Consider the following 26,667-nt stretch of genomic DNA (forward strand, 5'->3'; position numbering starts at 1 on the left):
CATTAGCTGGGTGCAGTGGTGCACCTGTAGTCCCAGCTACTTGGGAGGCTGGGGTGGGAGGATTACCTGAGCCCACAAGGTTGAGGCTGCAGTGAGCTGTGATTGCACCACTGCACTCCAGCCTGGGGAACAGAGCAAGACCCTGTCTCAAAAAATAAATAAATAAATAAAAAAAACATGTGCTGCCAACACTGTGAATATAACTAAAGCCAATGAACACACTTAACAGTGGGTAAAATGGTTAAATTTTGTTACATGTTATTTTTCCACACACAAAAAACTTTTGTGCTGCAAATAATCCCAGACAGAAAGTAAAAGACAACCCACAAATAGAAGATAGCGCTAAATCAGATATAAGGGTGCAGCACGTCAGGGCTGGCCATGGTGGCTCACACCTGTAATCCCAGCACTTTAGGAGGCCGAGGCAGGAAGATTGTTAGGGCCCAGAAGTTCAAGACCAGCCTGGGCAACAGAGCGAGACTCCGTCTCAAAAAAAAAAAAAAAAAAAAGAAAAGGAAAGGAAAGAAAAAAGAAAGACAAGAAAAAAAAAATTAAGAAAAAGGGTAGAACATCCAGACTATCATAAAGAACTGACAACTTTAAAATGTCAAATAACCTAATTAAATAATGGACAAAAGTCTGAACAGACATTTCATCAGAGAAGATATACTAATGGTCAATAAGTGCAAAAGAAAATGCTCAACGTCATTAGCCACAAAAGAAATGCAAATCAAAACCACAATGAAATACTATGTCACACCCACCAGGATAGCTACAATAAAAAAGATAACAATTGTTGGCAACATTATAGAGAAACTGGAACCCTCATACATATTGCTGATGGTAAAGAAAAATGCTAAAGCCACTTCAGATAACAGTTGGCAGATCCTCAAAAGATTAAATATAAGTTACCACACAACCCAGCAATTGCACTCTCAAGTATACACCCAAGAGAAATGAAAACATATGTTCACATAAAAACTTATCCACAAATGTTCATAGCAGCACTGTTCATAATAGCCAAAAAAGAGAAACAATTCAAGTGTCCATTTACTAATGAATGGTTAAACAAAATGTGGTATAGCCATAAAAGAGTATATTATTCAGGCCTAAAAATAGTGAAGTACTGGCTGACTTGAAGGTAGTGAGTTATCTCAACAGATTGTTCAGTCAGTTACAGATCTAAGTCTTTGCTCTACTCTCTCCTCATATCACTACTGCACTTGACTAGTTTTTTTAAAAAGTATTTAAAAAAAGAATGAAGCACTGATACATGCTACAGCACAGATGAAGGCGAAGGTCAGCCACATAAGACCACACATCGTATATTTCGATTTGTAAGAAATGTCCAGAATAGGCAAATCTATAGAGACAATAAAGTAGATTAATGGCTGCCTAAGTCTGGGGGGAATGGTTTGGGGGTAAGTGAGTAATAACTGCTAATTGGTAGAGGGTTTCTTTTGGGAGTAATAAAAATGCTCTAAAATTGATTATGGTGATGGTTACACAACTCAGAATATACTAAAAACTACTGAACCATACACTTCAAATGTGTGATTAACATATCGTTTGTGAATTAAGTTTTAATGAGTGGCTATATTAATATAAGATCAAATAGACTTCAGAACAAAAATCAAAGGAAACTATGTACTTTTCAGAGAAAGATCTTGAGGTGTTGCCATTTATATAAAAGAAATAATTTTATTTGCATTGACCTAGGGTCGATTCTCATCATTTATAGTAGTTATATTCTATACAGTTGCTGCAAACAATAAATTAACAAATTAACTAAACTATTGCTCCTAGAGGAAATGCAGGATTAGGTTCCTGCAAGCCTCCGGTCACAAAATTTTCATCAACCAGTCAATACATAACATTTTTATATGCATTTATATTTAAAGTCACTTTAAAACATATTGCTGAGGGCTGGATGCAGTGGCTCAAGTCTATAATCCCAGCACTTTGGGAGGCTAAAGTAGGTAGATAAAGCTTGAGTCCAGAGTTCAAGACCAGCCTGGGCAACATGGTGAAACCCAGTCTTTACAAAAAATGTAAAAAATTAGCTGGGTGTGGTAGCATGGGCCTGTAGTCTCAGCTACTCAGGAGGCTGAGGTGAAAGGATCACTTGAGACCAGGAGGCAAAGGTTGCAGTAAGCCGTAACTGGGCCACTGCATTCCAGCCTGGGTGATAGAGCAAGACCCTGTCTCAAAATAAATAAATAAATAAAATATATCGCTGGTTCATTAACACTGAATTCAAAGCCAAAACACTGTAACTCATACATGAATGAAGCTTACCTTACACGTGTTTTCTCCATAAAGCACAAACATCCTTCATGCACTTAGCAACACTACGGGGCACTTCAGCTTTATTACATTTAGGGCCATTTGAAGCAGTGAAGTCAACAAAAAGCACAATGAGAACATGGCCACAACAAGGACACATATTTATGCTATGAGTGCTGAAAGAAGGCAAAGCATCTCCCAGTTTCACCTCAGCTGGGAATATGTGAATTGGGCGAGTCAAATTTTTTGCTGCTCTGCCCATGTGTAGGGATGACTGTGAAGGCACTGCTATTATTAATACTGGGGTTACAAATAAATTTTAGCATGTAGGTGAATTCTAAAACACAGAATCCATGAATGAGAATCAATTTTTAACATACAATAAAACGTACTTTAAAACACATGATTTTAAAATTTCTAGAAGGAAAAACATTTTTAACATATTTTAACATTTTTATTGTGGTATATACATATAACATAAAATTTGCCATTTGAACTATTATGTATGTATATTATGTATACAAGTATACAACTATCAGGTATGTTATATGGCATTAACTACATTCAACATGTTGTGCAACCATCCAACCATCACCATAATTTTCAAAACCTTTTATCATCCCAAACAGAAACTATATCCATTAAGCAACAATCGCCCATTCCTCCCCCACTCCCATCCTAAACAACTCTCTATTCCCTCCCTATTCTCCCTGCAAGCCCTTGGTAACCTCTAGTCTACTTTCTGTCTCTATGAATGTGCCTATTCTGGACATTTCATGTAAGTATAATCTTATATTTGCCCTCTTATGTCTGTCTTATTTCACTTATGTTTGCAAGGTTTACTCATATTGCAGCATGTATCGGAAATTCATTCCTTTTCAGGACCAAATAATATCCCATTACATGTATATACATTTTATCAATTCATCTGTTGAACACTTAACATTATTTCCACCTTTTGGCTACTGTGAATAATGCTGCAATTAATACTGGCAAGTATCTGTTTGAGTCCCAGTGTTCAATTCTTTTGGGTCACAGATATGTAAGAATGGATTTGCTAGGTCACATGCTAATTTTATGTTTAACTTTCTGAGGAACCACCAAACTGTTTCCCACAGTGGCAGCACCATTTTACATTCCACCAGCAATATAGGACTCTAATTTCTCCACATCCTTGCCAACACTTTGTTGTTTTTTAACTAGAGCCACCCTAGCAGGTGTGAAGTGGTATCTCCTTGTGGTTTTGTTTACATTTCTCTTAATAACAAACGATCTAGTGTATCATTTCATTTGCTTATTGGCCATATATACATATCTTCTTTGGGGAACTGTCTATTCAGATCTTTTGCCCATTTTTAATTGGGTTGTCTTTATTATCAGGCTGTGAGAGTTCTTTATATATTTCACTATCATCCAATACATGACTTACAAATACTTTCTCCCATTCTGCAGGTTTTCTTTTCACTTTCTGAATAATGGCCTTCAATGTACAAAAGTTTTACATTTTGATCAAGTCCGACTTACTATTTTTTCTTTAGTTGCTCATGCTTTATTTAGGTTGTTACTTGTCTTTGTTTTGTTTTTGTAGAGACAGGATCTCACTATGTTGCCCAAGCTGATCTCAAAATCCTGGCCCCAAGCAATGCTCCCACCTCAGCCTACCAAAGTGCTATGATTACATGCGTAAGCCACCATGCCCAGCCTGTTGATATATTTTGAGTTAACTTTTGCATATGGTGTGAAGTAGGGGTATGACTTCATTCCTTTGCATGTGAAAATCCAGTTGTACCAACATCCTTTTTTTGTTTTGAGACACGGTCTTGCTCTGTCAGTGCACTGCAGTGCAGTGACACAATCACAGGTCAATGCAGCCTCAACCTCCCCAGGTTCAAACAATCCTGCCTCAACCTCCCAAGTACCTACCAGGGACCACAGACGTGAACCACATCTGGCTTTTCTTTTTTGAGATGGAGTCTCGCTCTGTTGCCAGGCTGGAGTGCAGTGGCACGATCTCGGCTCACTGCAACCTCCGCCTCCTGATTCAAGCGATTCTCCTGCCTCAGCCTCCCAAGTAGCGGGATTACAAGCATGCACCACCACGCCCAGCTCATTTTTCTATTTTTAGTAGAGATGGGGTTTCACCAGGTTGGCCAGGATGGTCTCGATCTCCTGACCTCGTGATCTGCCCACCTTGGCCTCCCAAAGTGTTGGGATTATAAGTGTGAGCCACTGCACCCCGCCATTTTTTTTTTTAATTTTATTTAGAGACAGGGCCTCACTATGTTGCCCAAGCGAGTCTTGAACTTCAGGCTCAAGTGATCCTCCTGCCTCAGGCTCCCAAAGTGCTGGGATTACAGGTATGAACCACCATGCCTGGCCCAATGTCATTTTTTGAAGATACCAATATTTCTGCCACTGAATGGATCTGGCACCATTGTCCAGTATCACTTGGATATACTGGAAGGACAGATAAAGTATTAACACAGGTTATGTGTTGGGGGAGACAGGAACTGGATGAGGATAAGGAGTGGGAGGGAGGCTTCTCAATATCCAGCTTCGTATACTTATTTAACTTTTCAACCAGTGGGAAAGTACTGTTTACTCAAAAGCTAAAATAAATTTAACATTTTAAAACACAACTGCTAGGCAAGCCATAAAATAGGATATATACCTGACAAAAGAGTCATGATTGGAATATATAAAGAATCCTACAAAAGCACTGGGAAAAAAGGTAGACAAACCACAGGGGAAAAGGTAAGCACAACCCGAACAGGCAACTACAAAAAATGATATTCAAAGGCCAACAGCCGTACTAAAAGATGTTGGACTTTACCGGTTCTCACAGATCTGCAAATTAAACTATAATGCTAGTTTACTTAAGTACTTAAATAAACTTTTAAAAATTATGAAATCAAACTAACTATAAATTAATTACATCCACCTTAAAAATGACTAATCAGATTCTACCAAGTCAGGACAAAAACAGAAAATTGGCAGCCTAACTGGTATTATTTGGCCAGAATAGAGTAGTTGTTGTTGTTGTTGTTATTGTTAGGCAGTCTCACTCTCTTGCCCAGGCTGGAGTGCAATGGCACCATCTCGGCTCACTGCAACCTCCACCTCCCAGGTTCAAGCGATTATCGTGACTCAGCCTCCCGGGTAGCTGGGATTACAGGCATGTGCCACCACACCTGGCTAATTTTTGTATTTTTAGGTAGAGATGGGATTTCACCATGTTGGCCAGGCTGGTCTTGAACTCCTGACCTCAAGTGGTTCGCTCATCTCGGCCGCCCAAAGTGCTGGGATTACAGGTGTGAGCCCCCATGCCTGCCAAAATAGAGTATTTTTTAAATGCAAGAAGGCTAGGCAAGTTTCACTACTCTCAATGTCTTATACTAGTTACTTTCCTAGTTCCTGAAGGCATCTGAGTTTGTGCTATCAGCTTAACATGGAAAGGCCACATTTAGGTATAATTTTACCACATTACCTCGGTGGCCTCATTTGTTTAAAAAAGAAACAAGGATAATATTATCACCCTGAAATAATTCTTTTTAATTGGGCAAAACTTCATTCCGCAAAATAGAATGAGTCTTCCCTCTGAGAGGATTTTTATAGGCAAATAAGATAACACGAAAAAGTTTTATCTTTAACGTAAGATAAAACATAACAAAATATGTTATTTTACAGACAAGGAACAGAAGTCTAGACAGATTCAAATAAACTTATCCACAGCTAGTTCTTTCCTGCCATTATTAATTCAGATAATCTACTTTGAAAGCATTCAACATAAATTGAGGAAGGAAAACAGAGAAGAGAAAATTGGATGGATGTCAAGAGCAGCCTAGATTACAGCCAAAAGCATAAGGACTAAAATCATATAATACACAAATGAAAAAGAGGGAATCACCTCCAAACCAACATTAAGAGCAGAAATAGTAAATTTCAGCTATGACTAATTCTTTTGAACCATATTTCAACAAATATCTGGTTTACTGAAATCAAATTTATTACTAATTTATTATAAAATGTATTATACTGTTCTTTAATATAATCTCTTACCTCTCCAGCGAGATTCAGTGGGTCCAAGGTTCATTACATACATCCCTTTTATATGCCTCACAACAAATGAAGGTAATGTTCAACACAAAGCAGAAAATGTAATATACGAAGGACAGCTGAAATGCAGTGCTCTTATTACTTTCAATACTTCAGATTCATAAGCACAGTAATACAGTGAAATGATTCTCAATACCTTACCCTCATATCTGCCCTACGGCAGACAAAAAACTGATGGGGATCTTTTGACTGACATTAGCTTTTTGCTTAAGTATTTACTTTGTGAGGGATAGTATTTAAGCCAACCCTCAGTGATGGGAAAAGAAATGAGTTGTGTAATTTGAATTTTAGCATTCTATTAATAAACCACACATGGATGACAGGCCAGACTGGTCCAAAATTCATTTGTGGAATTCATTCTGGCAGTCATTTGTGATGTTAGAAGTAGAACCCTGTAAATTCTCATTCTTCCAAATCTATTGTGGACAACAGGTCAGGCTGTACACACAACACTGCCTGAAATCTGATTCATAACCAACACCTAACATGTCCCATCAAATGAAAACATGGGATGTGGCATCACAAGGCATAGTAAATAACTTAGGTTGTTTAGGAAAAAAGTATCAAGGATAGTATGTAGGTATTTACATAATGAAAGAAAAATTTCCACAATTTTTATCTACAAATTCAAAATATAATAATTGAGTAATTTTTTTTGTAATACAGGTCTACCAATGAGAAGAATAAAATTCTCATTTAATTGGGAAAATTTTAATTAACTCACCACAGGTGAAGAGCTATCCCTGTTTGGCTAATGAATGAGCCACTCAAAAACTTCCCATGTTTGAAGAGCCTCATTTTCATTTTTTATTTTTAAGAAATTCTGCTGTGATCAGATATTCCATTTTAAACTTTCTTATTTCTGATTTTTACTTTCCTGTGAGTTGGGAATAATGTAATCAGTGCTTACTCTGGAGTTGTCAACAAAACACTGTACTCTTTCAGCACAGCTATAGTGTAAGTACATAATAAACACCATGCTTTGCCATCTAACTCAAAACAAAATGTACTCTGCTGTAAAAGCATGACATTTAAAATCCACTCACTCTTCTTTGAAATGATAGGTATGCAATATTTTGGACAATTTTTTAAATTTTAAATGTTGTGCTACAGCCATACACATCCCTATCAAGTTATAGCTGCATCACTGCAATTTGTAATGTACCAAAAAGCAGTACACAGTATTTGTCACAACTACTCAATTTTCCCATTATAGCATGAAAGTAGTCAAAGACAATACATAAATGAATGTGCGTGGCTGTGTTCAAATAAAAATTTCTAAACACAAATTTACACTTAAAATTTTTTTTTCTTTGAGATGGAGTTTTCGCTCTTATTGCCCAGGCTGGAGTGCAACAGCGCAATCTCGGCTCACTGTAACCTCTGCCTCCCGGGTTCAAGAGATTTTCCTGCCTCAGCCTCCCAAGTAGCTGAGATTACAGGCACCTGTCACCACACCCAGCGAATTTTTTTTTGTATTTTTAGTAGAGATGAGGTTTCACCACATTGGCGAGGCTTGTCTCCAACTCCTGACCTCAGGTGATCTGTCCACTTTGGCCTTCCAAAGTGCTGGGATTACAGGCGTAAGCCACCCTGCCTGGCCTCTAATAATTTTCATGTGTCACAAAATATTCTTTTTTCCCAACTATTTAAAATATAAAAATCATTCTTGGCTCACAGGTCATACAAAACCATACAGTTGACTGTATTTAGTTCATGGGCCAGTTTGCCAATCCCTGATCTAAAGCAATGCCCAACAATTAACAGGCCCCACACAGAAGCACAGAATCTTCCATCAGAACTGTATTGCCTCATTCAAGTGGGGAGACAACCAAGGATCATCTATTGCTCGAGGAAGCCTATGAAACACAAAGATCAAAAGAAAAAAAAAAAAGTAAAACAGATAATAAAGGGAATAGAAGATAAACAAGAGTAGGCAGAAGCAAACAGTAAAATAAGATGTCAAAAATGTTATATAATGATAGCTGGGCACAGTGGTACACGTCTATAATTCCAGCTACTCCAGAGGCTGAGGCAGGAGAATCACTTGAATCCAAGAGCGGAGGTTGCAATGAGCTGAGATCGCACCACTGCACTCCAGCCTGGGCGACAGACTGAGACTCTGTCTCAAAAAAAAAAAAAAAAAAAAGTTATATAATGGAATTACCAAATATAAATAAGGAATCAGTATACCTGAAATGTTTCAAAAGTAAAAAGTCAAATGAAAAATAAAGTAAAATACATATTTTGCCTGGGGAAGAAAAACATTTGTATCCTCAGAGAAAGAAGATATTAAGTCCACAGAAAAAGAACAGAATCTTATAAAAATACAACCTAAGCAAGGAAGCTCTTAGAAATGTACCATGTAGGCCAGGTGCGGTGGCTCACGCCTGTAATCCCAGCACTTTGGGAGGCCAAGGCAGGTGGATCACCTGAGGTCAGGAGTTCAAGACCAGCCTGGCCAACATGGTGAAACTCGTCTCTACTAAAAATACAAAAAAATTAGCCAGGTGTGGTGGCATGCGCCTGTAGTTCCAGCTCCTCAGCAGGCTGAGGTAGAAGAATCGCTTGACCCAGGGAGGCAGAGGTTGTAGTGAGCCATCCAGTCTGGGTGACAGAATGAGACTCCATCTCAAAAAAAAAAGAAATGTACAATGTAATTAATAAATTGGATAAAAGGGTTAGAGACAAGGACAAGAAGATCTTTCAGAATGTCAGTGGAGCAAGAAAACAAAGGGAAGGAAACTAGAAAAAGACAGCGGAGAATATGAACCTAGGAGAGCCAACATCCAAATAGTAATAGTTCAATAAGAGTGGGAGGTGGGGAAGGACCTTCTGAAAAAAATGTAAAGTTCTCTTACTATAAATGAAGATTACAAGACTAAATGAAAAAGCATAATGAACTTTTAGAAACTTTTAGAAAAAAAAATAGAAGCATATCACTATATTTCAAAACAACTGATAAATAGATGAAGAGATCCAAGACATAAAAAGATAAAAAGATCTCAAGAAGAGGTAAATAAACAAATGAAACCCAACTGGGGTTGTACAAAGGAGTAAAATCAGAGTAGCATCAGCAACACTGATTTAAGACACTGGAAGAGATGCCTTAAAAGTTCTGAGGAAAAAAGTTTTAACCCAGAATTTCATATCCAGCCAAGCTATCATTTAAGAAGGGAGTAGAATAAAGAAAACTTCAAAAATTCAAAGGCTCAGAAATTATACTCTTAGTGACTCTTCTTTAGGATGTACAAACAAGGGCGTAAACAAAGAATGGGGAAGACATGGGAGCCTAGGGCCTGTGTAAAGTATTAATTAGATCAAGACTCATCTTCCTAAAACTGACTTGAACGATTACAACCTCAGTTATTAGGGTGCATAAGCAAAGAACAGTGAAATTAAAAAAAAAAAAATCTGACCAACAGCATGGAAATGAAGAAATCTGTCACTGTCTGGGTTCGGGGTAAGGAAAAAAGTTTTCTCCTGAGAATTCCCTTTTTTTTTTCCCCACACCCACATTGTGTATAATTCTGAGAATTTCTAAATACAAGCCAGCCTATAAGGTAAACACTAAATCAACATCTGACAATACTAAGATATAGTAAACTAAAAGTCTGCTTCAGTAATTTCTGTGTTGGTGGCACCTGACAGAAGCAAATGCAAAATACCCTCTGGAGGCTTGTTCCCTAAAACCAGTCTGGCAGATTTCATAAAGCCCTAGTGAACAGGCTCACTGTCTAAAACTATAAAACACAGGAGGACACCACCCACAACAAATGAGCAGGCAGAAGCAAGCAGTAAAATAAGACATCAAGAACATCAGATAATGGAATTATCAAATATAAATATGAAATCAGTATACCTGAGACATTTAAAAAATAGGTCGGGCACAGTGGCTCACACCTGTAATCCCAGCACTTTGGGAGGCCCAGGCAGGCAGATCACTTGAGCTCAGAATCAGAAGTTCAAGACCAGCCTGGCCAACATGGTGAAATCCTGTCTCTACTAAAAATTCAAAAATGAGCCAGACATGGTGGCGGGCGCCTCTAATCCCAGCTACTTGGGAGGCTGAGGCAGGAGAATTGCTTGAACCTGGGAGTCGGACGTTGCAGTGAGCAGAGATCGTGCCATTGCACTCCAGCCTGGGCAACAAAGTGAGACTCTGTCTCAAAATATACACTCAAAAACATTTTTGGACTTAAGAAAATGTGGAGGCATACCATGTGTATAAATAGGCAGACACAATAAAGACATTTTCTCCCAAACTGATTTACATATTCAAAGCAATTCCAACAAAAACACTGACAGGTTTTTTGTTGTCGTTGTTTTTCTGTTCTTTTTTAAAGAGATGGCGGCGTCTCTCTGTGTTGCCCAGGCTGGAGTACAGTTGCTATTCCCAAGTGCAATCATAGCACATTACAGCTTCAAACTCCTAAGCTCAAGCCATCCTCCTGCCTCAGCCTCCTGAGTAGCTGGGACTACAGGTATGTACCACCACACACAGCTTAATAAGTTTTTAAAATGAACTTTCACAAGATAATACATTTTAGTATAAGAGTGAGCAAAAGGTGAATGGCCAAGGTTTGTCTTGGAAAAAGAAATTTTTTAATTAAAAAAAAAAAAAGGAGCAAAAGGTCAAGATCAGTCGAGATAATCTTGAAGATGACCAAGGTATACGTAGAGAGGGCAGTGAAATTACCTTAATGAACAAAACTTACTGCTTATTATTATAAAGCTACTAAGAACAGCAAAAAAAAAAGGAGGAAAAACTATTTTAATATAAAAACATGAAAAGACAGCTCTCTAAAAAGTGTATCAGTTATCTATTGCTATGTAACAAATTACCTCAAAAATTAATGACTTAAAACAACAATAATTATTTCTCACAGCTTTCTTGAAACAAGAATTTGGGGCCGGGCGCGGTGGCTCACGCCTGTAATCCCAGCACTTTGGGAGGCCGAGGCGGGCGGATCACGAGGTCAGGAGATCGAGACCATCCCGGCTAACACGGTAAAACCCCGTCTCTACTAAAAATACAAAAAATTAGCCGGGCGTAGTGGCGGGCGCCTGTAGTCCCAGCTACTTGGGAGGCTGAGGCAGGAGAATGGCGTGAACCCGGGAGGCGGAGCTTGCAGTGAGCCGAGATCCCGCCACTGCACTCCAGCCTGGGCGACAGAGCGAGACTCCGTCTCAAAAAAAAAAAAAAAAAAAAAAAGAATTTGGGAGGGACTTGGCAGGCAGTTCTGGCTTAGTGCCTCTAAGAAGGCTGCAGTCAAGATGTCAGCCAGGAAGGACTGCAGTCATCTGAAAGCTTGATTAGGATAGAGAATCTACCTCAAAAGCGGCTCTTTCACATAGCTGGCAAGTTGGTGCTGGGTCTTTGCAGAAGACCTCAATTTTTCTCCATATGGCCTCTTTAAAGGACTACTAGAGTATCTTTCACAGAATGACAGCTGTTTTTCACCCAGAACAAGGGATTCAAAGAGCAAGGAAAAAACTGTATATATGGCTTTAATGACTTTTTAATAAAGTCACTATTAATTCTATTATATTCTCTTGGTCACGGAGACCAGCCTTGAGCAACTGGACAGCAACCATACAACGGTGTGAATAACAGGAGAAAAGGAACAAGGGGCCATCTTAGAGGCTGGCTACCACACCAAGCCATAGGCTCAGAATAAATCTTCAACCTACATCATCAACAAAGGATCAGTATACAGAATTTGTCAAGAATTCTTGTAAATCAAAACAAAAAATGTAAGCAATCTAAAGAAAAACATAAAACACATGGACAAATAATTCACAAAAGGAACATAAATAGCATATAAGCATTCAAATGTACTCATTAGTACCATATAGTGCATGCTATTTACTCATCACTGGGGCATAGGCTTTAAATATTTTTCTAAAAATGGTATATTTATGTTTATCCATCCTTGTTCTTTTTCCCACTTCCCCTTGAGTCAAATGGCTAGGGATAGATGTGCAATTTGTGGCCAAAGAAGAGACAGAGGTTAATTTATCTACCATCCTGAGCCCAATCTCTGAAGTTGGCTTAGATAGACTGTCATAAACATGAAAAAAATCAGTAGATCTATAGTGACCTATTTTTAGAAGTTTAACTTCAGTTAATAAGTACTTTCTTCATTTTTACATTTTACTAAAGGGAGGCTTTTTCTGAACTGTTATGGGTACTCCAAAATGAAGAACTATAAATGTATAAATCTGCCACCTACTATCTTATGATCTGACATTCTTCCTACTGGCCCAAAGACTCTGAGACATTATCATGTTCTTAATGTCCTTTAACAGAGCAGGGCTCAAACTTCCTGGTCTCAGGACCTCTCTTACAGTCTTAGTTACTGAGGAACACAAAGAGCTTTTGTTTAGATGGGGTATGACCATCAAATGTATAATAAAAATGGATGTTTTAAATATATTTTAATTCATTACAAGATGAATTAAAAATGAATCTTAAATTTTAAAATGTTAAAATGACGTTTACTTTATTACTAGTTTTGTTTGTTTTCTCAGACAGTCTCACTGTCACTCAGACTGGAGTGCAACGGCATGATCGCAGTTCACTGTAGCCTCAACCTCCCAGCCTCAAGTGATCCTCCCACCTCAGCATCCTGAGTAGCTGGAACTACAGGCGCACACCACCACACTCGGATAATTTTTTTATTTTTTCTGGAGTCGGAGTCTCACTATATTCCCCAGGCTGGTCTTGAACTCCTGGGCTCAAGTGATCCTCCCACCTCAGCCTTCGAAAGTGCTGGGATTATAGGCATGAGCCACCATGTCCGGCACGACAGGTTTAAACAACACTTTTAAAAATCAGAAATAACTGTATTTCCTAAAACAAAAAAAAATTAATAAAGAGTGTCATTGTGATACATTTTAAAGATCTCTTTAACATGTGGTTTAATAGAATATGGCTGGATATATGCTTCTGCATTTAATGTTTCAATATGTTGTTTCTTTGAAGAATATAAAGAAAATCTGGCTTCATACAGCTAAGTATCTAAGAAAAGGGAAAAGCAGATTTTAATACCCTTTTCAGATCATTGTGTGGATATTTTTCTTTGATATAACACAAAAACTTAAGAAGAATATTTATTTTTTAAACATCAGTTGCAATGTGGCATCTCAAACCTTAAAAATAAACTTGACTACTCTCTCGCGTTAAAATCTATTTATTGGCTGGGAGTGGTGGTTCATGCCTGTAATACCAACACTTTGGGAGGCTGAGGTGGGCAGATCAACTGAGGTCAGGAGTTCAAGACCAGCCTGGCCAACATGGCAAAACCCCATCTCTACTAAAAATACAAAAATTAGCCAGGCATGGTAGCGTGTGCCTGTAATCCCAGCTACTTGGGAGGCTGAGGCAGAACTGCTTAAACCCAGGAGGCGGAGGTCGCGGTGAGCCAAGATTGCGCCACTGCACTCCAGTGTGGGTGACAAAGCAAGACTCCATCTCAAAAAATAAAAATAATAAAATAAAATACAATCTATTTATTATTGCTCTGTTTTGCACTTAACATCATGCATTTCTCATTTAGAATATATTGCAATAAGCTACGCAGATCTTTGAAATGTTGACATTACACAATATCAAAAAAATTCACGTTCATTAATATCACCACCAATCTCTTCAGGAAAGTCTTTAAATACTGAGAAACTGACCAGCTCATGGCAGCAAATACCAATTTTCCAAAATTCTAATTTTCATTTAAAATCTCAATTTTTATCACTGGCAACATATGTCAGTTGTTTTCCTGGAAATGACAGGCTCAATTCATTCACTTCTGAGAAAATGGCTGCCAAATACCCATGCCTAAAAACCATAGTTTTTAAGTAAAACCATAGTTTCAAGTAAAATAGTTTTCTATGAAAAAAAGCAAATTCAGCTTGGAACTCAAAAAACTGCACAAGTACTCTTCTTCCACTTTCTTCCGCAGCAGAAGCATTTTAGGCACATTTCCCACTTCATCACACAGAGCTTTAAAGATCAAAATGTAATATAGTAATTGTTACTGTTTCATAAAGGATATTAAGTGACAATGACATAGGTTTATTTTTGTTCTTTCTCTAAGTGTGTGAAAGTAAATATGCAATGACTTTTATAGTATGGCTTGGAGCCATTATCCTTTTTTTTTATTTTTTTATTTTTTTTATTTTTTTAAAGACAGGGTCTCACGCCATTGCCAAGGCTGGAGTACAATGGCACAATCATGGCTCACTGCAGCCTCGACACTCCGTGCCTCAGGCAATTCTCCCACTTCAGTCTCCTGAGTAGCTGCGACTACAGACACGCACTACCATGCCTATTTAATTTTTTTGTATTTTTTGTAGACACAGGGTTTCATCATGTTACCTAGACTAGTCCCCTACTCCTGGACTCAAGCAATCCACCCACCTCGGCCTCCCAAATGGAGTCACTCACCATCTTAATTCACGCAGAGGTGATGGCAGTTTTATCCATCATTGCTTTTGCACCATTAATATAAATGTCAGCGCAGTGAATAAGGAGAATATCAAATTAGTGTAATTATGAAAATAGTTTTAAACTTGTGCACCTCTAAAAGGGTCTCAGTGACACGGTCACTACCATCACCCCCACCCCAGCATTCTGTGGCCCACACTTTGAGAATCACTGCTTTAAGGTATTCTCATTTAGGACCCACTGACAGCAGAATCCATGAGAAAAGTAAAAGTAATTAAAGTCCCCTAACTAGGGCTTTTGATGTACAAATACTAGACATTATAAAGACTTAGGATTTAGGACATTAGTTTATAAGTTTTTACAAGATCTAGGTAACTAGAAGATTTGGAACTCAAATGATTTATCATGCATGCTGTACATATCAGTAGACATCAGAAAAGCCTTTAAAACCACAATTTACCCCCCTGCCTCTTCTTTCTGTTTGCTGTGAGATACAGTCACAAAGACAACGGGGGGACAAATGAAAAATTACCGAAATAACACTACTACAATTTATTGGGGGCTTCCCATGTAAGCTCCCAATAAATGTACCTTGCAACACATTAACTCTCTTAATTCTCACAAAAACTCTATGATGTAGGTGTAATTATTACTCCCAATTTACAGATGTTAAGTAACTTATCCATGGTCATTCCAGTAGTAAATGGTAGAGCTCAAAAATGAATTCAGGTAGTTTGACCACAATGCTAGACAGAAGTTGTGAGAAGTATTTCAGCAATCTTGGACACATCGTTAATGACTGGTTGTTGGTGGAGTACCACATGATCATTCAAACACTCAAGCTTGTTTCTGTTGAAGAGGAGAGTCAGAAAAAGTAGAGCCTAAAAAGTCCCCAAACCAGTTAAGTCACACTGAGGCCAGAACTGTCATATAGTATACACACTCCAGGGACAAGAAATTCCGAGGGCTCAAACAGAAGACTCCTCAGAGTGGCTCAGCATGGTCTGTGATAAACAGACAGAAACACTATGAGGAAGTGCTCTTCACACTACACTCAGAGGTTTTCCCTCCCACTTACACATGATTGTTGCCATCTCAGACTTTTCATAGTAAGTTTTTTTGTTTCGTTTTGTTTTGTTTTTGAGACGGATTCTCACTCTGTCCCCCAGGCTGGAGTGCAGTGGCGTGATCTCAGCTCACTGCAACCTCCGCCTCCAAGACTCAAGTGATTCTCCTACCTCGGCCTCCCGAGTAGCTGGGATTACAGGTGCCTGCCACCACGCCTGGCAAATTTTTGTATTTTTTGTAGAGACAGGGTTTCGCCATGTTGGCCAGGCTGATCTCGAACTCCTGACCTCAAGCGATCTGCCCGCCTCGGCCTCCCAAAGTGCTGGGATCACAGGCATGAGCCACTGTGCCCAGTCCACAGTAAGTTGAAGAATTCAGTAACAGAATGATTTTTCCATGGTGATTCCACTATTCCTCCCCACAAACTATAAGGACATTAAACGTATGTACATACAGAATGTTAGCATAAAAGACAATAGAATCATATAACCTAACGGGATAGGAACTCAGCCTCTTCGTATTGCAAGACCTGGAGAGACTTCCTAGGTTCCTTGCCCAAGGGTTACGTAGCTAACTAACAGCAGAACCGAGGCCAGGTGGTGCCTCACGCCTATAATCCCAGCACTTTGGGAGGCCAAGGCAGGTGGATCACATGAGGTCAGGAGTTCGAGACCAGCCTAGCCTACATGACAAGACCCTGTCTCTACTAAAAATACAAAAAATTAGGTGGGCATGGTGGCGGGTGCCTATAATATCAGCTACTGGGGAGGCTGAGGCAGGAGAATCACTTGAACCCAGGAGGTGGAGGTTGCAGTGAGCCGAGATCGCACCATTGCACTCCAGCCTGGGTGACAAGAGTAAAAAACTGTCTCAAAAAAAAAAAAAAAAAAATAGCAGAACCCAATGCAACTTAATACCAATTCATTTCTTCAGCCACATCATTGTGCCATCTCAGAGGTAGCCTCATCTCCTTCAAGAGTTCATCTGAGAGTTTGTTCAGATGCATCAATATGATTCCTATTTAAAAAAAGATTTTTTGAGAGACAGGGTCTTGCTATGTTACTCAGGCTGATCTTGAACTCTTGGCCTCAAGTTATCCTCCCGCCTCAGCCTCCTGAGTAGCAAATCTGTATTTTTATTGATAAAGTATAAATGTATATATACCCACTACTGATAGCTGTTCTGCCTCAACCTGAAAAAGCACCCCCCAAAAAATCACAAAAACACTTTAAAAAGCTCACTATTGAGATTCAATATTAACTAATTTATCTATTTTGATTTTGCAAATACTCCAACGGTAAACAGATTGTACTTTCTCCTCAAAATATTTAAATCTGTGTTCCTCAAAGTGTGGTGGTACCACCAGCATCAAAATCACAGGGCACCTGTTAAAAATGCAGGCACATGGAGTCATCACCAAATCAACTAAACCAGTCTCTGAAGAAACTCCCAAGTTAGCATTTTAATAAGCTCTCTAGTGATTCTTATTTACACAAAACTTATTTATTGAACAGTCTACAATATCCTAGTGCAAAGTGAGACGGGCAAGTAAACAAAAATAAACATTTTGGATTTTAGCTGTGCTACAAAGAAAATAAGATGATCTATCAGAGAGCGACCTGGAGGACTACTTTAAAATGAGAAGTCAAAGTCTGAGGAGACATTTGAAGTGAGAGCCCTTCATTCAAGACAGTGGTTCTCAAACTTAAGCGTGAATCAGAATCACCTGGAGAGCTTGTTAAACGAGACTACTGGACAGGAGGTCCGGAATGCGGCCCAAGAATCTGTATTCCTAACAATGTCACAGATGATGCTGATGCTGTTGATCCAGGAACCACACTCTGAGAACTGTTGATCTAGAAAGAACAGCCAGAGGGTGTGAATAAATGTATTAAGAGAAACAGGAAAAGGCCAGTTAGGCAGGAGGGCATTATACTCATCATTGTTTCAAAATCACTTGAAAAAGATGGTGAGTTAAAACCACTAGCTATGATCTCCAGACCAGAGATGATATCTGAGGTTGATCAATAATATCCTGTATTGTTGAAGCATTTCTCAGTTACAAAGCATTTTCACATTTATTATTTGCCTTGGTGAGATATAAGTAAACGACTATCAGCTACATTTTAAAGGGAAACTGAAGGACAAAAACAGTATGAACTTCCTTTAGCGTAAAATAGCTAAAGAGCTGAACTATGTCCCCTAACACCCAATCTAGTGCTCTTTCCAGCACAGCTTGATCTTTTTAAAGAGCAAAGCAGAATGGTATATAGGAGTTAATACTGACAAATTATTTTCTAGACTATCTAAAAACACGGTGGATGGCTAGACACAGTGGCTCATGCCTGTAATCCCAGGACTTTGGGAGGCTGAGGCAGGCAGATCATTTGAAGCCAGGAGTTCAAGACCAGTCTGACCAGTATGGCAAAACCCCGTCTCTACTAAAAACAGAAAAATTAGCCAGGCGTGGTGATATGCGCCTGCAATCTCAGCTACTTGGGTGGCTGAGGCACAAGAATCGCTTGAACCTGGGAGGCAGAGGCTGCAGTAAGCCGAGATCGAGCCACTGCACTCCAGCCTGAGCAACAGAGCGAGACTGTCTCAAAAAAAAATTTTTTTTAATCAAAAACATGGTGGATTCCAGACTCAATTTGTTTTAGATATTGGTTAGAGAGAAATATTACTTAAGATTGACAGCATTTGGTTAGTCCCTTCCACTTACTCCCCCTCCTTCAAAAAGAAAGGATAAAGAAATGAAGAGGGGATTTACATATTATTCTCTCTCCTTCATAAATTTCAGAGAGCCAATTTCATAACCTCAGTCCCTCAGCCACATCAGTCAAACACAATCTGTATTTCTGGGTTCCCTCTAAATCTCTTACCTAACCCAGGTTCCCACAAGAACACTGAATCCTATGTGTCTTACTATGGTCATGGGTGCACAGACCACCAGCAGTTATTCTCTGAACACCTACTAACAATTAGTAGCTTCTCCAACAACCAAAGCCTTACTCTTAACATTCTTACCTACATGTACCAATAATGCTAGAAACCCAAAACATCCCAATCTGAAAACATTTTATCCTCCCTACACCCCAGCCCTCACCCTCACCCCAGCCCTGCTTCAGTGTCTGAATATGTATTAATAGCATTGCCATCCACCAAACAAAAAATGTGGAATTCTACGTTTGTCTCCCTCACACCAATCTCAATACACTCCCCCCATCCCTCCATTCCCATAGCCACTATTAGTTACTACTATTAATATACTAGCTACCATTTCATTAGTAACTACCACGTACTAATCACTTTACACATTTTATCTTACTTCATTCTCTCAATAACCCTATGAGGTTATATACTTTTTTCCCATTTCACAAATGAGAAAACTGAAGCTAAGAAAAGGTCATCTGCCCAAGTCGTAAGTAGGAGATGGCAAAGTAGATTTCCAAACCCTACCGTTCCCCCAAACCAAAATGCTTCATTCTGTAATACCTGATATATCATTCCTTTACTACCCATTCCAAATGTTGATTTCTTTCCTAGATAACCGCCAGGATTCTCCTAACTGGTCTCCTTGTCTCCAGCCTTGCCTTCCCTCATCCCTCAAGTGCCCTAAGTGATCTTTCTGGATCAGAAATCTGATCCTTTTATCCTCTTGATATGAAAGCCCTCCAGGAACATCCTTCAGTCCACAATGTCGAGGATACACTCTACAGGATGAATTCCAAGCCCTTTAGTGCAGCTCCACAATCGCTTACCTACAGTCCCGAAATTCAAAAGCTTTGAAATTTTAATTTTTTTCATTGGTTTGCAACAGAACCCACTGTGAATGCTGGGAGGTTATTTATCGTCTATCCCATTAGCGTGACATTCACGTGTTTCAATGTAGAAACATTAACGTGTTTGATAGAGTTAACTCAGACCCTGATAAAAGTCTCACATAACAGACCTTGCCAGAAAAAAGAAAAATCCCAAAATATTCTGAAGTCCTTACACCTGGATCCCAAGAGTTTAAGAGACTGTGAAACCTTTATCTTTTCAGCCCATCAATCCAATCTAATTTCCACCAATCACCCTACACAGTCTTTAGTTCCAGGGATGTAGAAGGGTGTCCTGTGCCCTGAATACCCTCCAACCCAGTGAGGTACTCATTCTTCAAGAAACCTGTTCATGGATTTCCTTTCCTGTGAAATTTCCCTGACCTTTCCTCTATTGTGCCACAACCATTGTACTGAGGACTCACCTCCACTGCTGCAAGTTATATGTTTCTCCTGTTAGACTGTGAATGAAGTCTTCATTGAGTACTTTATTCAATCCTAGCACAGTGCCCCAACACTAGGGGCTCATTAACGGCCAATTAGCTAAAACAAATTCATGCCCAGCTTTCCCTAACTCTCAATTTCCTTCAAAGTTCATTTCTCCTTCATCCCCAAACCTTAGGATTTTCCCTAACCATGCAGTCCACTTTCCGAGTTTCTCTTTCCCCATGTCATCTTACAATTTTCTTCCAGGCGCCTTCTCTGGACCCCTTGCTCTCCAACATATTCTCTCCACCTCCATTTAATCCATAGTCCTCCTCTCTCCTATCTGTGAACACGCCAAGTCCCCTCCCTCCAAAGCAATCCATCTTCACTGCCCTTACCTCTTACCTACTCCCTCAACACCTCGCTGGCCCGGGCCCTTTCAGCCAAAACGCTTCCTCACAACGTGTTTCCCAAATCCCCCTTCTCTCACTGTACGGGTCTGCCAGCTCCAGAACCAGCGCTCGGCCGGGTTCCGCACATCACAAACCCTCCCTCGGAGCCAGTGTCCCCTCCCCCAGCCTCTCGCAGCCGGCACCCCTCCCTTCATGCTCCCCTTATCTCTTGCGGTCCAGCTTCTCTGGAAAGTGTCCCAGGGGCGAGTCTTTCACCTTAGAGACCCCTCGGGATGGCGCCCGTCCGAGCAGCCCCAGGCCCCAGCACCTCCGTCCCCAGCTCCTCTAGGGTTGCGCAAATCCCTTGCGGCCCAGATGCCAGGCAGGGCCTCCGGCTCACCTTGCTGGATGTCGCCGTTGCTGCCCCCCGGGATGGGCACGCTGAGCTGGCGCTCCGGCTCGGGCAGGCAGCGCAGGCAGAAGGAGTGAAGACAGGGCAGCAGCTTGGGCTCCGCCTCACGCCGGCTCTGCAAGCTCTGCTGACACACGGCGCAGGTGTCCAGGAGCGAGGCTGGCGGTCCAGGAGGCGGCCCTGCCGAGGGACCCGGAGCGGGAGCCGAGGCTGGAGCTGGAGCCGGCGTCGATACTGCGCCCCCGGCAACTCCAGTGCCCACTGAGGCCGCAGGAGATGAAGCAGCCTGGGCCGAGCCCGAGGAGGCCGCGGCCACCCCCCCGTCGTCGGGCCCGGCCGCGCCGCCCTCAGCGCCGGCCCTGCCGCCTTCCTCCTCCTCCTCCTCCACCAGCACCGCGGTGAGAGGCGGCTCCGCCTCCTGCGCGGCGGGCCCGGCGGCCCCGGCAGTTACCGGCGCGCTGCCGCTGCCCCCGCCGCCGCTCTCAGCCTCGCCGCCGCCTTTGTTTTCCGCCATGTTTTCCTCTTTGAACCCGCCGGACCGCCCCGCGCCGCCCGCCGCCCGCGTCGCCGCCGCCGCCGCCCCCAGCCCCAGCCGCAGCCGCAGCAAGAGCGGCAGCCGAGAGCTAGCGAGAGAGCGAACCAACGAGAGCGCGCGCGCACGCGGCGCCCCCGCCCTCGCGTCGCGCGTTTGAAGGAGGGCGGTTGCGGCACGCGCACGTACGCACGGACGTCCTCCCGAGGGAGGCGGGAACTCGGTTCGCGGGCGCGGAGCGGTCCCGGACCCTCGAAGCCAGTTCCTTGCGTCAGTGCCGCGGCTCTTTAACCCGAAGGGAGATTTTTTTTTTAAAGCCAGAGGCCGTTGACGCTGGGTAGCCTTTGGCTGGGGTTGGTTATGAACTCCGACACAGCGGTGGTGCATACGGAAGGGTGGTAGCCGGGACGGTTCCGGTCCCTGCGAGCGTGTCCCGGGCGTCTCCGCGGAAGTTTCACCTGCCGCGCCGCTCGATCGCCGGGACCTCCTGGGTCTCTGCTGTGCGTAGACCAGCCGCGTTCCTTTGGGTGGCCGTGGAGCACTAAAGCGGGGCTTATTGTTTGTTTGGTTTTGGTTTTTTTTTTTGTTTTTTTTTTGCTTTTTGTTTTTGAACTGAGGATCTATCAGAAATAGGCTGAAAAGACCGAGTGAGGAAGAAACTCTTTAACAGCTATTTTTGGCATCTTAAGGTGATTCTCAGGAGTTGCTACGTATCAGAATCAACGGAGGAGTTTTTCAAAGCAGAGATGCCAGGGCCAGTCCCCAGACCTGAATCAGGAAGTGAGGGAGAGAGCCGACGGAGGGGGAAAAGTCCCTTCAGCTGATTCTTATGTATGTCAGTTTGGAGAGCCACGGATATAACCAATACTGCGTCCTTCTGAGGTCCCACTTTAAGTGTCCTGGGTTGAGCTGGGTGACAAATGCCCTTACAACAATGGTAGTAGAAGCTTTCAGGCCAAGCGCAGTGGCTCACGCCTGTAATCCCAGCACTTTGGGAGGCCGAGGCGGGCAGATCACTTGAGGTCAGGTCAGGAGTTCGTGGGCAGCCTGGCCAATATGGTGAAACCCCGTCTCTACTAAAAATATAAAAATTAGCCGGGTGTAATGGCGTGCGCCTGTAATCCGAGCTACTCAGGAGGCTGAGGCAGGAGAATGGCTTGAACCCGGCAGGAGGCGGAGGCTGCAGTGAGCCGAGATAGCGCCACTACACTCCAGCCTGGGCGACAGAGCGAAACTCCGTCTCAAAAAAAAAAGAAAAGCTTTCAGAAAGTTGCCTTTTTATTTGAAAAAAAAAAAAAGGTATTTGGAGGATTTTATGTAGTGCAACAACTGTTTTAGTGTTAAGATCATGAAATGCTTTGGTCTCCTGTTAGTGTTCCCAAGAAAGGTGCTGTAAGTCCTTAAACCACGTGAAAACTTTTTTTTTTTTTGAGACCTCCTCGTTCTGTCGCCCTGGCTGGAGTGCAGTGGCGTCATCACATTTCATTGCAGCCTCGACTTCCCAGGCTCAAGCCGTGCTCCTCGCAATTACCTGGGACCGTAGATGCACGCCACCATGACTTAGCTGATCTTTTTTTTCCCTTTGCCTCGAAGAGGCTGGGGTCTCACCATGTTGCCCAGGCTGAAACTCCTGGGCCCGAGCGATTGGCCCGCCTCAGCCGCTGGAAATGCTAGCATTACAGGCATGAGCCACTGCGCCCAGCCTCCTGAAAACTTTTTAAAATTTATTCAAAAATGTTTCCTGACCTCTTTATTGTCATAGTGTTTTAGAGATACACTGGGATTACAAAACAGAGGAGCTCCCTGCATTCAAGGGGTTTACAATCTAATAGAGAAAAAGATTGAGAATAGATACATGCCAGGGAGTGGTAAGTGCTGTGAAGAAAAGAATAAGTGGGGTAAAAGGGGTTAGAGGTGATTGAAGAAGGCCCCTGTTGATCAGATGAAGGAACCTGTCTTGGAGAAGAGCAGGAGAGGAACACATAACAAGTGCAAAGGGCCTGAGGGAAACGGATTCTTGGCTTGTTAGAGGAGGAGTCAGTGTGGCTGGAGTGGCTTGAACAAGGGAGAGAATAGTAGGACATGAGATAAGAGAGTTATTAAGGGAGCCAGGTCATGTACAGAAATGGTCTTCAATTTTTTTTTTAACTTTTGTGCCCTTTGAAAGAATTTTGGAAGGCTGTTTTCTTTCCTCAAACATTGTAAGTTGACTAAATTTTTTCAGAAGTTTAAATAGTTGCAGAGTTTAATTTGTGACATTCTGTAATACTGACATTTAAAAATTATTTTTAATCTAATAGGGAAGTAAACACTAAAGTGGCTTAATACTATCCATTTTTTAAAGTATATTAAAATGTTATATTTTTTAAACATGGAAAAGTATTGGGAATGTTTTAATGATATGGCTGGGAGTCTTCCCCCTTCCCCTAATTATTTCGAGTAGGCATGAATGCATATAACATTGCTAGAATGAGATAAGGTCCTGTATCAACTCCATTTTTCATTGCCACAGTCTTTACTGCATTAAAAACTATATATGTATACATGTATGTATCTACACACTCACATATATGATGGAGTAATTCCCTTAAAACTACCCTTACTTTTTTATGTACCCCTTGGAAAATTTTCCTTCACTGAAGTACCCCAGGAGTACTCATACCCTAGCCTTAGGACCACTGAGTCAGATAGGAAGGCTTGGATGGGTTTTGAGCAAAGACTCAAAGCAGAATTGTGAAAAGAGTCACTGTGGCTGCTTCCTAGAGGAATCACCTGTAAATGGTCAGTGGAATAAGGAAGACCAGTTAAGGGGCTAATAGGGTAATAACTCGGTTGGTTGGATCAGGTTAGAATCTGTAAAGGTGGTGAAAAATATGGAGTATAAATCATAAACACTTCTTCTCAAATTCACTTCAAAAAAATAAGCTAATGAACTGAATTTCTCAACCAAAAGTTTTGCTTCCATGAGTTTTCTTAACCTTTTGATGCCTGCTACATTTGCCTTTATTAAAATCTAGAATAAAAGTGTTGTTTTTGAAAACTATATAATTTGTATAGGATGGAAACAGCCCCCATGAAGTTCACTGTGTGCTCTGAGAAGGCAGTGCCTGGAGTATAACTCATGAAATATTTAGGATCATTGAAACAGACCCAGTTACATCCTTGATTTTCTGTGGGAGCCCAGAAATCTTGCAGGAGAAACTATGAAATAAGTCCACAGATGAGGCTGAGATACGATAATGCACAAACCTGTCTAATAGACTGCATAGCATGGGGTTCATTATGCCCTGGGACAAAATGCTTGGTTTGAATCTGGTTCCATCACCTACTAGCTATGTGATTTAGGGAAACTTACTTAGGTTGCCTCAGTTCCCTCAGTCATGAAAGGGTGTTTGCTACGGGTAGGACCTACCTCAAGGTTGCCTCACAAACAATATTTGTAAAACGTTAATAACAGCACCCAGCACATGGTGAACATGGATGTTAAAGTAGACCCAAAGTTCCCTGAAGGAAACAGAACTGGCAGGAGAAACACATGCCACTGAGAGAAAATTTCAAGAAGAGGAATCATGCTGTGGCCCAAACTGAGCAGCAGGTAGAGGTAGAGGCTGTGTCCAGCCATTTTCCTGACCTAGGCTACTATCCCTTGTTCCTCTGGTTTGAGCATTATCAGAAAAAACCAGTTCTGAAATAAAGGAAAGAGCTCTTAGGAGGTTCATAGCAGTTCTGCTATGAAGAAAACTCCTCTAAGTTGCTGGTAAACAATAGTGGAAGGAGTTTTCCAGTTGTCTAGGAAAGAGAAAGGGCATTGGAGGTGAGTGACCCAGGTAGGTAAGCAATGGTGAGAACACGATGTGTCCATCATCTGGGCACAGGAGGTTGGCAAAAGCAAGGCAGTAGCCCAAGGGTAGCGTGAAGATTTGCAAAGGCTGGTCTGCACCTTCTGGACAGAGCAGCCATGCTGAACAGCAGGAACAGAAGAGTACATGAGAACCGGCAGAAGGATGCTGAGCTGCAGCTGAAATCTGGGATATTTCTGTAAATGTACAATACTTGCACTCACCAATGGGTGAGGCCAGAGGATCTAAAGGTGACATTTTATCTTTTAAAGTTCACTTCTCAACTGGGTGTGGTGCCTTACACCTGTAATACCAGCACTTTGGAGGAAAACAGGAGGATCACTGGAGGCCAGTAGTTCAAGACCAGCCTGGGCGACATAGCAAGACCCCCATCTCTACAAAAAAAATTTATTAATACAAATTTTAAAAATAATGTAAAGTTTAGTTCTCATCATTCCATGGTGTACCAAGTACACTTTGACTTCTAGGTACTCTGTTGTCTGAGTGAGAACTATTAGTACCAAGAAAAGCAGGACAGATAGCAGAGTTCTGAGTCTAATTACTATCTATTGGCTTTTCTGTGTCTCTAAGGCCTTTCAGGGGCACGTTGTAATTCTAGTAATAAACACCACATTTGAACAGCAGTTTACAGTTGACAAAGTGCTTTCACACACATCTCTTAATTTTTGCAACCAGTAAAATATAGCTCAACAATAAATAGACTTCCTTATGTGAATGTACTGTAATGTATTATCTATTCATAGACAATAAGGTTTTCAATTTTTTACTATTATAAACAATACTGTGAAAAGCATTGTGATGCATAATTATTTGCATATCTATAATTATTTCTTCTGAATATTCCTAAAAGAATTGCTGATTCAAAGAATATGCCCATTGTAAAAGTTTTTAATATGTAAATTTAAAGTATTCCATATGGATTATTAAATTGTTTTGATGTATTTTGCTACTATAAATAAAAAAGTGAAATTAACATGCAATTTTTTTCCTTTTTTTTTTTTTTTTCCTAAAGATCCCTATTTCCATGACCAGGCGCTGTGGCTCATGCCTGTAATCCCGGTGCTTTGGGAGGCCAAGGCTAAAGGGTTACTTGAGACCAGGAGGTTGCAACCAGCCTGGGCAATATAACAAGACCCCCATCTCTACAAAAAAAAGTTTTAAAAATTAGACAGGTGTGATGTCTTATCTGTAGTCCTAGCTACTTGGGAGGTTGAGGTAGGAGGATCTCTTGAGCCCAAGAGTTTGAGCCTGCAGTGAGCTGTGATTGTGCCAATGTACTCCAACCTGGGTGACAGACTGAGACCCTGT

The 26,667-nt window shown here is 41.2% G+C and overlaps 1 protein-coding gene and 1 long non-coding RNA gene across 8 annotated transcripts in view, besides 4 other annotated features; one reads left to right on the plus strand and one right to left on the minus strand.

Annotated features, from left to right (window-relative positions):
- TRIM33 (tripartite motif containing 33) overlaps positions 1 to 21,608 on the minus strand; it is a 118,414-nt gene extending 96,806 nt beyond the window's left edge. For all 7 annotated transcript variants that reach the window (NM_033020.3, NM_015906.4, XM_047422512.1 and 4 more), the window contains exon 1: positions 20,956 to 21,608. In NM_033020.3, coding sequence (NP_148980.2) covers positions 20,956 to 21,481 — 526 coding nt within the window. In that variant the 5' untranslated portion in view covers positions 21,482 to 21,608. The remainder of the gene's footprint in view (positions 1 to 20,955) is intronic.
- Positions 21,145 to 21,444: a silencer, noted in NCBI's record as "silent region_1219". NCBI's record gives its function as "represses an Ori minimal core promoter by ATAC-STARR-seq in GM12878 lymphoblastoid cells {active_cell/tissue: GM12878}" and the evidence as "EXISTENCE:reporter gene assay evidence [ECO:0000049][PMID:35858748]".
- Positions 21,475 to 21,584: a silencer, noted in NCBI's record as "silent region_1220". NCBI's record gives its function as "represses an Ori minimal core promoter by ATAC-STARR-seq in GM12878 lymphoblastoid cells {active_cell/tissue: GM12878}" and the evidence as "EXISTENCE:reporter gene assay evidence [ECO:0000049][PMID:35858748]".
- LOC124904348 (uncharacterized) lies at positions 21,743 to 26,339 on the plus strand. Its single transcript, XR_007066452.1, has 2 exons — positions 21,743 to 22,330; positions 25,611 to 26,339. It is a non-coding gene; the product is annotated as an uncharacterized LOC124904348 (long non-coding RNA).
- Positions 21,775 to 21,944: an enhancer, noted in NCBI's record as "active region_1546". NCBI's record gives its function as "activates an Ori minimal core promoter by ATAC-STARR-seq in GM12878 lymphoblastoid cells {active_cell/tissue: GM12878}" and the evidence as "EXISTENCE:reporter gene assay evidence [ECO:0000049][PMID:35858748]".
- Positions 22,805 to 23,567: an enhancer, noted in NCBI's record as "H3K4me1 hESC enhancer chr1:115055021-115055783 (GRCh37/hg19 assembly coordinates)". NCBI's record gives its function as "activates a minimal SCP1, AML or CMV promoter by ChIP-STARR-seq in naive H9 embryonic stem cells {active_cell/tissue: H9 hESC(naive)}" and the evidence as "EXISTENCE:reporter gene assay evidence [ECO:0000049][PMID:30033119]".

This window comes from Homo sapiens, chromosome 1 (genome assembly GCF_000001405.40).
Source record: "Homo sapiens chromosome 1, GRCh38.p14 Primary Assembly".
Classification (NCBI taxonomy): domain Eukaryota; kingdom Metazoa; phylum Chordata; class Mammalia; order Primates; family Hominidae; genus Homo; species Homo sapiens.